The 14,135-nt window shown below is 40.8% G+C and overlaps 1 annotated feature.

Annotated features, from left to right (window-relative positions):
• Window positions 1-14,135: part of a centromere (Linear centromere model derived predominantly from reads generated in PMID: 17803354. This region does not represent an actual centromere sequence, as long-range ordering of repeats and unmapped WGS contigs is not provided by the model. For details of model production, see http://arxiv.org/abs/1307.0035.) that runs on past both edges of the window.

Consider the following 14,135-nt stretch of genomic DNA (forward strand, 5'->3'; position numbering starts at 1 on the left):
CGAAACGGGTATATCTTCGCATAAAATCTAGACAGAAGCATTCTCAGAAAATACTTTGTGATGATTGAGTTTAAATCACAGAGCTGACCATTCCTTTGGATGGAGCAGGTTTGAGACACACTTTTTGTAGAATCTACAAGTGGATATTTGGACCTCTCTGAGGATTTCGTTGGAAACGGGATAACTGCACCTAACTAAACGGAAGCATTCTCAGAAACTGCTTTGTGATGATTGCATTCACCTCACAGAGTTGAACATTCCTATTGATAGAGCAGTTTGGAAACACTCTTGTTGTGGAATGTGCAAGTGGAGATTTGGAGCGCTTTGAGGCCTATGGTAGTAAAGGGAATAGCTTCATAGAAAAACTAGACAGATGCATTCTCAGGAACTTTTTGGTGATGTTTGTATTCAACTCCCAGAGTTGAACTTTCCTTTGGAAAGAGCAGCTATGAAACACTGTTTTTCTAGAATCTGCAAGTGGACGTTTGGAGGGCTTTGTGGTTTGTGGTGGAAAAGGAAATATCTTCACCTAAATACTAGATAGAAGCATTCTCAGAAGCTTCTCTGTGATGACTGCATTCAACTCACGGAGTTGAACACTCCTTTTGAGAGCGCAGTTTTGAAACTCTCTTTCTGTGGCATCTGCAAGGGGACATGTAGACCTCTTTGAAGATTTCGTTGGAAACGGAATCATCTTCACATAAAAACTATACAGAAGCAGTCTCAGAATCTTCTTTGTGATGTTTGCATTCAAATCCCAGAGTTGAACTTTCCTTTCCAAGTTCACGTTTGAAACACTCTTTTTGCAGGATCTACAAGTGGATATTTGGACCACTCTGTGTCCTTCGTTCGAAACGGGTATATCTTCACATGACATCTAGACAGAAGCTTTCTCAGAAAATTCTTTGGGATGATTGAGTGGAACTCACAGAGCTGAACATTCCTTGCGATGGAGCAGTTTAGAAACACACTTTCTGCAGAATCTGCAAGTGCATATTTGGACCTCTCTGAGGAATTCGTTGGAAACGGGATAATTTCAGCTGACTAAACAGAAGCATTCTCAGAACCTTCTTCGTGATGTCTGCATTCAACTCACAGTGTGGAACCTTTCTTTGATAGTTCAGGTTTGAAACACTCTTTTTGTAGAAACTGCAAGGGGATAATTGCACTCTTTGAGGAGTACCGTAGTAAAGGAAATAACTTCCTATAAAAAGAAGACAGAAGCATTCTCAGAACCCTCTTCGTGATGTTTGCATTCAACTCACAGTGCTGAACCTTTCTTTGATAGTTCAGCTTTGAAACACTCTTTTTGTAGAAACTGCAAGTGGATATTTGGTCCTCTCTGAGCATTTCGTTGGAAACGGGATAAACTGCACAGAACTAAACAGAAGCATTCTCAGAACCTTCTTCGTGATGTTTGCATTCAACTCACAGTGTTGAACCTTTCTTTGATAGTTCAGGTTTCAAACGGTCTTTCTGTAGAAACTGCAAGTAGATATTTGGACCTCTCTGAGGATTTCGTTGGAAACGGGATAACCCGCACAGAACTAAAACAGAAGCATTCACAGAAAACTCTTGGTGACGACTGAGTTTAACTCACAGAGCTGAACATTCCTTTGGATGGAGCAGTTTCGAAACACACTATTTGTAGAATGTGCAAGTGGATATTTAGGCCTCTCTGAGGATTTCGTTGGAAACGGGATAAACCGCACAGAACTAAACAGAAGCATTCTCAGAAACTACTTTGTGATGATTGCATTCAAGTCACAGAGTTGAACATTCCCTTTGACAGAGCAGTTTGGAAACTCTCTTTGTGTAGAATCTGCAAGTGGAGATATGGACCGCTTTGAGGCCTATGGTAGTAAAGGAAATAGCTTCATATAAAAGCTAGACAGTAGCATTCTCAGAAACTTCTTTGTGATGCTTGTATTCAACTCACAGAGTTGAACTTTCCTTTCGAGAGAGAAGCTTTGAAACACTCTTTTTCCAGAATGTGCAAGTGGATATTTGGAGGGCTTTGAGGCCTGTGGTGGATAAGGAATTATCTTCCCGTAAAAGCTAGATGGAAGCATTGTCAGAAACTTCTTTGTGATGATTGCATTCAACTCACAGAGTTGAAGGTTCCTTTTCAAACAGCAGTTTCCAATCACTCTTTCTGTGGAATCTGCAAGTGGATATTTGGACCTATTTTGAAGATTGCGTTGGAAACGGGATAATCTTCACAGAAAAGGTAAACAGAAGCATTCTCAGAAACTTCTCTGTGATGTTTGTGTTCAACTCCCAGAGTTTCACATTGCTTTTCATAGAGTAGTTCTGAAACATGCTTTTCGTAGTGTCTGCAAGTGGACATTTGGAGCGCTTTCAGGCCTGTGGTGGAAAACGAATTATGGTCACATAAAAACTGGAGAGAAGCCTTCTCAGAAACTTCTCTGTGATGATTGCATTCAACTCACAGAGTTGAACCCTCCTATGGATAGAGCAGTGTTGAAACTCTCTTTTTGTGGAATCTGCAAGTGGATATGTGGACCTCTCCGAAGATGTCTTTGGAAACGGGAATATCTTCACATAAAAACTAAACAGAAGCATTCTCAGAAACTTCTTGGTGATGTTTGCATTCAAATCCCAGAGTTGAACCTTCCTTTGATAGTTCAGGTTTGAAACACTCTTTTTGTAGGATCTGCAAGTGGATATTTGGACCACTCTGTGGCCTTCGTTCGAAACGGGTATATCTTCGCATAAAATCTAGACAGAAGCATTCTCAGAAAATACTTTGTGATGATTGAGTTTAACTCACAGAGCTGAACATTCCTTTGGATGGAGCAGGTTTGAGACACACTTTTTGTAGAATCTACAAGTGGATATTTGGACCTCTCTGAAGATTTCGTTGGAAACGGGATAACTGCACCTAACTAAACGGAAGCATTCTCAGAAACTGCTTTGTGATGATTGCATTCACCTCACAGAGTTGAACATTCCTATTGATAGAGCAGTTTGGAAACACTCTTGTTGTGGAATGTGCAAGTGGAGATTTGGAGCGCTTTGAGGCCTATGGTAGTAAAGGGAATAGCTTCATAGAAAAACTAGACAGATGCATTCTCAGGAACTTTTTGGTGATGTTTGTATTCAACTCCCAGAGTTGAACTTTCCTTTGGAAAGAGCAGCTATGAAACACTCTTTTTCTAGAATCTGCAAGTGGACGTTTGGAGGGCTTTGTGGTTTGTGGTGGAAAAGGAAATATCTTCACCTAAATACTAGATAGAAGCATCCTCAGAAGCTTCTCTGTGATGACTGCATTCAACTCACGGAGTTGAACACTCCTTTTGAGAGCGCAGTTTTGAAACTCTCTTTCTGTGGCATCTGCAAGGGGACATGTAGACCTCTTTGAAGATTTCGTTGGAAACGGAATCATCTTCACATAAAAACTACACAGAAGCAGTCTCAGAATCTTCTTTGTGATGTTTGCATTCAAATCCCAGAGTTGAACTTTCCTTTCAAAGTTCACGTTTGAAACACTCTTTTTGCAGGATCTACAAGTGGATATTTGGACCACTCTGTGTCCTTCGTTCGAAACGGGTATAACTTCACACGACATCTAGACAGAAGCTTTCTCAGAAAATTCTTTGGGATGATTGAGTGGAACTCACAGAGCTGAACATTCCTTGCGATGTAGCAGTTTAGAAACACACTTTCTGCAGAATCTGCAAGTGCATATTTGGACCTCTCTGAGGAATTCGTTGGAAACGGGATAATTTCAGCTGACTAAACAGAAGCATTCTCAGAACCTTCTTCGTGATGTCTGCATTCAACTCACAGTGTGGAACCTTTCTTTGATAGTTCAGGTTTGAAACACTCTTTTTGTAGAAACTGCAAGGGGATAATTGCACTTCTTTGAGGCCTACCGTAGTAAAGGAAATAACTTCCTATAGAAAGAAGACAGAAGCATTCTCAGAACCCTCTTCGTGATGTTTGCATTCAACTCACGGTGCTGAACCTTTCTTTGATAGTTCAGCTTTGAAACACTCTTTTTGTAGAAACTGCAAGTGGATATTTGGTCCTCTCTGAGGATTTCGTTGGAAACGGGATAAACCGCACAGAACTAAACAGAAGCATTCTCAGAACCTTCTTCGTGATGTTTGCATTCAACTCACAGTGTTGAACCTTTCTTTGATAGTTCAGGTTTGAAACGGTCTTTCTGTAGAAACTGCAAGTAGATATTTGGACCTCTCTGAGGATTTCGTTGGAAACGGGATAACCCGCACAGAACTAAAACAGAAGCATTCACAGAAAACTATTGGTGACGACTGAGTTTAACTCACAGAGCTGAACATTCCTTTGGATGGAGCAGTTTCGAAACACACTATTTGTAGAATGTGCAAGTGGATATTGGGGCCTCTCTGAGGATTTCGTTGGAAACGGGATAAACCGCACAGAACTAAACAGAAGCATTCTCAGAAACTACTTTGTGATGATTGCATTCAAGTCACAGAGTTGAACATTCCCTTTGACAGAGCAGTTTGGAAACTCTCTTTGTGTAGAATCTGCAAGTGGAGATATGGACCGCTTTGAGGCCTATGGTAGTAAAGGAAAGAGCTTCATATAAAAGCTAGACAGTAGCATTCTCAGAAACTTCTTTGTGATGCTTGCATTCAACTCACAGAGTTGAACTTTCCTTTCGAGAGAGAAGCTTTGAAACACTCTTTTTCCAGAATCTGCAAGTGGACATTTGGAGGGCTTTGAGGCCTGTGGTGGAAAAGGAATTAACTTCCCGTAAAAGCTAGATAGAAGCATAGTCAGAAGCTTCTTTGTGATGATTGCATTCAACTCACAGAGTTGAAGGTTCCTTTTCAAACAGCAGTTTCCAATCACTCTTTCTGTGGAATCTGCAAGTGTATATTTGGACCTATTTTGAAGATTTCGTTGGAAACGGGATAATCTTCACAGAAAAGCTAAACAGAAGCATTCTCAGAAACTTCTCTGTGATGTTTGTGTTCAACTCCCAGAGTTTCACATTGCTTTTCATAGAGTAGTTCTGAAACATGCTTTTCGTAGTGTCTACAAGTGGACATTTGGAGCGCTTTCAGGCCTGTGGTGGAAAACGAATTATGGTCACATAAAAACTGGAGAGAAGCCTTCTCAGAAACTTCTCTGTGATGATTGCATTCAACTCACAGAGTTGAACCCTCCTATGGATAGAGCAGTGTTGAAACTCTCTTTTTGTGGAATCTGCAAGTGGATATGTGGACCTCTCCGAAGATGTCTTTGGAAACGGGAATATCTTCACATAAAAACTAAACAGAAGCATTCTCAGAAACTTCTTGGTGATGTTTGCATTCAAATCCCAGAGTTGAACCTTCCTTTGATAGTTCAGGTTTGAAACACTCTTTTTGTAGGATCTGGAAGTGGCTATTTGGACCACTCTGTGGCCTTCGTTCGAAACGGGTATATCTTCGCATAAAATCTAGACAGAAGCATTCTCAGAAAATACTTTGTGATGATTGAGTTTAAATCACAGAGCTGACCATTCCTTTGGATGGAGCAGGTTTGAGACACACTTTTTGTAGAATCTACAAGTGGATATTTGGACCTCTCTGAGGATTTCGTTGGAAACGGGATAACTGCACCTAACTAAACGGAAGCATTCTCAGAAACTGCTTTGTGATGATTGCATTCACCTCACAGAGTTGAACATTCCTATTGATAGAGCAGTTTGGAAACACTCTTGTTGTGGAATGTGCAAGTGGAGATTTGGAGCGCTTTGAGGCCTGTGGTAGTAAAGGGAATAGCTTCATAGAAAAACTAGACAGATGCATTCTCAGGAACTTTTTGGTGATGTTTGTATTCAACTCCCAGAGTTGAACTTTCCTTTGGAAAGAGCAGCTATGAAACACTCTTTTTCTAGAATCTGCAAGTGGACGTTTGGAGGGCTTTGTGGTTTGTGGTGGAAAAGGAAATATCTTCACCTAAATACTGGATAGAAGCATTCTCAGAAGCTTCTCTGTGATGACTGCATTCAACTCACAGAGTTGAACACTCCTTTTGAGAGCGCAGTTTTGAAACTCTCTTTCTGTGGCATCTGCAAGGGGACATGTAGACCTCTTTGAGGATTTCGTTGGAAACGGAATCATCTTCACATAAAAACTATACAGAAGCAGTCTCAGAATCTTCTTTGTGATGTTTGCATTCAAATCCCAGAGTTGAACTTTCCTTTCAAAGTTCACGTTTGAAACACTCTTTTTGCAGGATCTACAAGTGGATATTTGGACCACTCTGTGTCCTTCGTTCGAAACGGGTATATCTTCACATGACATCTAGACAGAAGCTTTCTCAGAAAATTCTTTGGGATGATTGAGTGGAACTCACAGAGCTGAACATTCCTTGCGATGTAGCAGTTTAGAAACACACTTTCTGCAGAATCTGCAAGTGCATATTTGGACCTCTCTGAGGAATTCGTTGGAAACGGGATAATTTCAGCTGACTAAACAGAAGCATTCTCAGAACCTTCTTCGTGATGTCTGCATTCAACTCACAGTGTGGAACCTTTCTTTGATAGTTCAGGTTTGAAACACTCTTTTTGTAGAAACTGCAAGGGGATAACTGCACTTGTTTGAGGCCTATCGTAGTAAAGGAAATAACTTCCTATAAAAAGAAGACAGAAGCATTCTCAGAACCCTCTTCGTGATGTTTGCATTCAACTCACAGTGCTGAACCTTTCTTTGATAGTTCAGCTTTGAAACACTCTTCTTGTAGAAACTGCAAGTGGATATTTGGTCCTCTCTGAGGATTTCGTTGGAAACGGGATAAACCGCACAGAACTAAACAGAAGCATTCTCAGAACCTTCTTCGTGATGTTTGCATTCAACTCACAGTGTTGAACCTTCCTTTGATAGTTCAGGTTTGAAACGATCTTTCTGTAGAAACTGCAAGTAGATATTTGGACCTCTCTGAGGATTTCGTTGGAAACGGGATAAACCGCACAGAACTAAAACAGAAGCATTCACAGAAAACTCTTGGTGACGACTGAGTTTAACTCACAGAGCTGAACATTCCTTTGGATGGAGCAGTTTCGAAACACACTATTTGTAGAATGTGCAAGTGGATATTTGGGCCTCTCTGAGGATTTCGTTGGAAATGGGATAAACCGCACAAAACTAAACAGAAGCATTCTCAGAAACTACTTTGTGATGATTGCATTCAAGTCACAGAGTTGAACATTCCCTTTGACAGAGCAGTTTGGAAACTCTCTTTGTGTAGAATCTGCAAGTGGAGATATGGACCGCGTTGAGGCCTATGGTAGTAAAGGAAATAGCTACATATAAAAGCTAGACAGTAGCATTCTCAGAAACTTCTTTGTGATGCTTGCATTCAACTCACAGAGTTGAACTTTCCTTTCGAGAGAGAAGCTTTGAAACACTCTTTTTCCAGAATCTGCAAGTGGACATTTGGAGGGCTTTGAGGCCTGTGGTGGAAAAGGAATTATCTTCCCGTAAAAGCTAGATAGAAGCATTGTCAGAAACTTCTTTGTGATGATTGCATTCAACTCACAGAGTTGAAGGTTCCTTTTCAAACAGCAGTTTCCAATCACTCTTTCTGTGGAATCTGCAAGTGGATATTTGGGCCTCTCTGAGGATTTCGTTGGAAACGGGATAAAACGCACAGAACTAAAACAGAAGCATTCTCAGAAACTTCTCTGTGATGTTTGTGTTCAACTCCCAGAGTTTCACGTTGCTTTTCATAGAGTGGTTCTGAAACATGCTTTTCGTAGTGTCTGCAAGTGGACATTTGGAGCGCTTTCAGGCCTGTGGTGGAAAACGAATTATGGTCACATAAAAACTGGAGAGAAGCCTTCTCAGAAACTTCTCTGTGATGATTGCATTCAACTCACAGAGTTGAACCCTCCTATGGATAGAGCAGTGTTGAAACTCTCTTTTTGTGGAATCTGCAAGTGGATATGTGGACCTCTCCGAAGATGTCTTTGGAAACGGGAATATCTTCACATAAAAACTAAACAGAAGCATTCTCAGAAACTTCTTGGTGATGTTTGCATTCAAATCCCAGAGTTGAACCTTCCTTTGATAGTTCAGGTTTGAAACACTCTTTCTGTAGGATCTGCAAGTGGCTATTTGGACCACTCTGTGGCCTTCGTTCGAAACGGGTATATCTTCGCATAAAATCTAGACAGAAGCATTCTCAGAAAATACTTTGTGATGATTGAGTTTAAATCACAGAGCTGACCATTCCTTTGGATGGAGCAGGTTTGAGACACACTTTTTGTAGAATCTACAAGTGGATATTTGGACCTCTCTGAGGATTTCGTTGGAAACGGGATAACTGCACCTAACTAAACGGAAGCATTCTCAGAAACTGCTTTGTGATGATTGCATTCACCTCACAGAGTTGAACATTCCTATTGATAGAGCAGTTTGGAAACACTCTTGTTGTGGAATGTGCAAGTGGAGATTTGGAGCGCTTTGAGGCCTATGGTAGTAAAGGGAATAGCTTCATAGAAAAACTAGACAGATGCATTCTCAGGAACTTTTTGGTGATGTTTGTATTCAACTCCCAGAGTTGAACTTTCCTTTGGAAAGAGCAGCTATGAAACACTCTTTTTCTAGAATCTGCAAGTGGACGTTTGGAGGGCTTTGTGGTTTGTGGTGGAAAAGGAAATATCTTCACCTAAATACTAGATAGAAGCATTCTCAGAAGCTTCTCTGTGATGACTGCATTCAACTCACGGAGTTGAACACTCCTTTTGAGAGCGCAGTTTTGAAACTCTCTTTCTGTGGCATCTGCAAGGGGACATGTAGACCTCTTTGAAGATTTCGTTGGAAACGGAATCATCTTCACATAAAAACTATACAGAAGCAGTCTCAGAATCTTCTTTGTGATGTTTGCATTCAAATCCCAGAGTTGAACTTTCCTTTCAAAGTTCACGTTTGAAACACTCTTTTTGCAGGATCTACAAGTGGATATTTGGACCACTCTGTGTCCTTCGTTCGAAACGGGTATATCTTCACACGACATCTAGACAGAAGCTTTCTCAGAAAATTCTTTGGGATGATTGAGTTGAACTCACAGAGCTGAACATTCCTTGCGATGTAGCAGTTTAGAAACACATTTTCTGCAGAATCTGCAAGTGCATATTTGGACCTCTCTGAGGAATTCGTTGGAAACGGGATAATTTCAGCTGACTAAACAGAAGCATTCTCAGAACCTTCTTCGTGATGTCTGCATTCAACTCACAGTGTGGAACCTTTCTTTGATAGTTCAGGTTTGAAACACTCTTTTTGTAGAAACTGCAAGGGGATAATTGCACTTCTTTGAGGCCTACCGTAGTAAAGGAAATAACTTCCTATAGAAAGAAGACAGAAGCATTCTCAGAACCCTCTTCGTGATGTTTGCATTCAACTCACAGTGCTGAACCTTTCTTTGATAGTTCAGCTTTGAAACACTCTTCTTGTAGAAACTGCAAGTGGATATTTGGTCCTCTCTGAGGATTTCGTTGGAAACGGGATAAACCGCACAGAACTAAACAGAAGCATTCTCAGAACCTTCTTCGTGATGTTTGCATTCAACTCACAGTGTTGAACCTTTCTTTGATAGTTCAGGTTTGAAACGGTCTTTCTGTAGAAACTGCAAGTAGATATTTGGACCTCTCTGAGGATTTCGTTGGAAACGGGATAACCCGCACAGAACTAAAACAGAAGCATTCACAGAAAACTCTTGGTGACGACTGAGTTTAACTCACAGAGCTGAACATTCCTTTGGATGGAGCAGTTTCGAAACACACTCTTTGTAGAATGTGCAAGTGGATATTTGGGCCTCTCTGAGGATTTCGTTGGAAACGGGATAAACCGCACAGAACTAAAACAGAAGCATTCTCAGAAACTACTTTGTGATGATTGCATTCAAGTCACAGAGTTGAACATTCCCTTTGACAGAGCAGTTTGGAAACTCTCTTTGTGTAGAATCTGCAAGTGGAGCTATGGACCGCTTTGAGGCCTATGGTAGTAAAGGAAATAGTTTCATATAAAAGCTAGACAGCAGCATTCTCAGAAACTTCTTTGTGATGCTTGCATTCAACTCACAGAGTTGAACTTTCCTTTCGAGAGAGAAGCTTTGAAACACTCTTTTTCCAGAATGTGCATGTGGACATTTGGGGAGCTTTGAGGCCTGGGGTGGAAAAGGAATTATCTTCCCGTAAAAGCTAGATAGAAGCATTGTCAGAAACTTCTTTGTGATGATTGCATTCAACTCACAGAGTTGAAGGTTCCTTTTCAAACAGCAGTTTCCAATCACTCTTTCTGTGGAATCTGCAAGTGGATATTTGGGCCTCTCTGAGGATTTCGTTGGAAACGGGATAAAACGCACAGAACTAAAACAGAAGCATTCTCAGAAACTTCTCTGTGATGTTTGTGTTCAACTCCCAGAGTTTCACGTTGCTTTTCATAGAGTAGTTCTGAAACATGCTTTTCGTAGTGTCTGCAAGTGGACATTTGGAGCGCTTTCAGGCCTGTGGTGGAAAACGAATTATGGTCACATAAAAACTGGAGAGAAGCCTTCTCAGAAACTTCTCTGTGATGATTGCATTCAACTCACAGAGTTGAACCCTCCTATGGATAGAGCAGTGTTGAAACTCTCTTTTTGTGGAATCTGCAAGTGGATATGTGGACCTCTCCGAAGATGTCTTTGGAAACGGGAATATCTTCACATAAAAACTAAACAGAAGCATTCTCAGAAACTTCTTGGTGATGTTTGCATTCAAATCCCAGAGTTGAACCTTCCTTTGATAGTTCAGGTTTGAAACACTCTTTCTGTAGGATCTGCAAGTGGCTATTTGGACCACTCTGTGGCCTTCGTTCGAAACGGGTATATCTTCGCATAAAATCTAGACAGAAGCATTCTCAGAAAATACTTTGTGATGATTGAGTTTAAATCACAGAGCTGACCATTCCTTTGGATGGAGCAGGTTTGAGACACACTTTTTGTAGAATCTACAAGTGGATATTTGGACCTCTCTGAGGATTTCGTTGGAAACGGGATAACTGCACCTAACTAAACGGAAGCATTCTCAGAAACTGCTTTGTGATGATTGCATTCACCTCACAGAGTTGAACATTCCTATTGATAGAGCAGTTTGGAAACACTCTTGTTGTGGAATGTGCAAGTGGAGATTTGGAGCGCTTTGAGGCCTATGGTAGTAAAGGGAATAGCTTCATAGAAAAACTAGACAGATGCATTCTCAGGAACTTTTTGGTGATGTTTGTATTCAACTCCCAGAGTTGAACTTTCCTTTGGAAAGAGCAGCTATGAAACACTCTTTTTCTAGAATCTGCAAGTGGACGTTTGGAGGGCTTTGTGGTTTGTGGTGGAAAAGGAAATATCTTCACCTAAATACTAGATAGAAGCATTCTCAGAAGCTTCTCTGTGATGACTGCATTCAACTCACGGAGTTGAACACTCCTTTTGAGAGCGCAGTTTTGAAACTCTCTTTCTGTGGCATCTGCAAGGGGACATGTAGACCTCTTTGAAGATTTCGTTGGAAACGGAATCATCTTCACATAAAAACTATACAGAAGCAGTCTCAGAATCTTCTTTGTGATGTTTGCATTCAAATCCCAGAGTTGAACTTTCCTTTCAAAGTTCACGTTTGAAACACTCTTTTTGCAGGATCTACAAGTGGATATTTGGACCACTCTGTGTCCTTCGTTCGAAACGGGTATATCTTCACACGACATCTAGACAGAAGCTTTCTCAGAAAATTGTTTGGGATGATTGATTTGAACTCACAGAGCTGAGCATTCCTTGCGATGTAGCAGTTTAGAAACACACTTTCTGCAGAATCTGCAAGTGCATATTTGGACCTCTCTGAGGAATTCGTTGGAAACGGGATAATTTCAGCTGACTAAACAGAAGCATTCTCAGAACCTTCTTCGTGATGTCTGCATTCAACTCACAGTGTGGAACCTTTCTTTGATAGTTCAGGTTTGAAACACTCTTTTTGTAGAAACTGCAAGGGGATAATTGCACTCTTTGAGGAGTACCGTAGTAAAGGAAATAACTTCCTATAAAAAGAAGACAGAAGCATTCTCAGAACCCTCTTCGTGATGTTTGCATTCAACTCACAGTGCTGAACCTTTCTTTGATAGTTCAGCTTTGAAACACTCTTTTTGTAGAAACTGCAAGTGGATATTTGGTCCTCTCTGAGGATTTCGTTGGAAACGGGATAAACTGCACAGAACTAAACAGAAGCATTCTCAGAACCTTCTTCGTGATGTTTGCATTCAACTCACAGTGTTGAACCTTTCTTTGATAGTTCAGGTTTGAAACGGTCTTTCTGTAGAAACTGCAAGTAGATATTTGGACCTCTCTGAGGATTTCGTTGGAAACGGGATAACCCGCACAGAACTAAAACAGAAGCATTCACAGAAAACTCTTGGTGACGACTGAGTTTAACTCACAGAGCTGAACATTCCTTTGGATGGAGCAGTTTCGAAACACACTATTTGTAGAATGTGCAAGTGGATATTTGGGCCTCTCTGAGGATTTCGTTGGAAACGGGATAAACCGCACAGAACTAAACAGAAGCATTCTCCGAAACTACTTTGTGATGATTGCATTCAAGTCACAGAGTTGAACATTCCCTTTGACAGAGCAGTTTGGAAACTCTCTTTGTGTAGAATCTGCAAGTGGAGATATGGACCACATTGAGGCCTATGGTAGTAAAGGAAATAGCTTCATATAAAAGCTAGACAGTAGCATTCTCAGAAACTTCTTTGTGATGCTTGCATTCAACTCACAGAGTTGAACTTTCCTTTCGAGAGAGAAGCTTTGAAACACTCTTTTTCCAGAATCTGCAAGTGGACATTTGGAGGGCTTTGAGGCCTGTGGTGGAAAAGGAATTAACATCCCGTAAAAGCTAGATAGAAGCACTGTCAGAAACTTCTTTGTGATGATTGCATTCAACTCACAGAGATGAAGGTTCCTTTACAAACAGCAGTTTCCAAACACTCTTTCTGTGGAATCTGCAAGTGGATATTTGGACCTCTTTGAAGATTTCGTTGGAAACGGAAGAATCTTCACAGAAAAGTTAAACAGAAGCATTCTCAGAAACTTCTCTGTGATGTTTGTGTTCAACTCCCAGAGTTTCACATTGCTTCTCATAGAGTACTTCTGAAACATGCTTTTCGTAGTGTCTGCAAGTGGACATTTGGAGCGCTTTCAGGCCTGTGGTATAAAACGAATTATGGTCCCATAAAAACTGGAGAGAAGCCTTCTCAGAAACTTCTCTGTGATGATTGCATTCAACTCACAGATTTGAACCCTCCTATGGATAGAGCATTGTTGAAACTCTCTTTTTGTGGAATCTGCAAGTGGATATGTGGACCTCTCCGAAGATGTCTTTGGAAACGGGAATATCTTCACATAAAAACTAAACAGAAGCATTCTCAGAAACTTCTTGGTGATGTTTGCATTCAAATCCCAGAGTTGAACCTTCCTTTGATAGTTCAGGTTTGAAACACTCTTTTTGTAGGATCTGCAAGTGGATATTTGGACCACTCTGTGGCCTTCGTTCGAAACGGGTATATCTTCGCATAAAATCTAGACAGAAGCATTCTCAGAAAATACTTTGTGATGATTGAGTTGAACTCACAGAGCTGAACATTCCTTTGGATGGAGCAGGTTTGAGACACACTTTTTGTAGAATCTACAAGTGGATATTTGGACCTCTCTGAGGATTTCGTTGGAAACGGGATAACTGCACCTAACTAAACGGAAGCATTCTCAGAAACTGCTTTGTGATGATTGCATTCACCTCACAGAGTTGAACATTCCTATTGATAGAGCAGTTTGGAAACACTCTTGTTGTGGAATGTGCAAGTGGAGATTTGGAGCGCTTTGAGGTCTATGGTAGTAAAGGGAATAGCTTCATAGAAAAACTAGACAGATGCATTCTCAGGAACTTTTTGGTGATGTTTGTATTCAACTCCCAGAGTTGAACTTTCCTTTGGAAAGAGCAGCTATGAAACACTCTTTTTCTAGAATCTGCAAGTGGACGTTTGGAGGGCTTTGTGGTTTGTGGTGGAAAAGGAAATATCTTCACCTAAATACTAGATAGAAGCATTCTCAGAAGCTTC

This window comes from Homo sapiens, chromosome 17 (genome assembly GCF_000001405.40).
Source record: "Homo sapiens chromosome 17, GRCh38.p14 Primary Assembly".
Taxonomy (NCBI): Eukaryota; Metazoa; Chordata; class Mammalia; order Primates; family Hominidae; genus Homo; species Homo sapiens.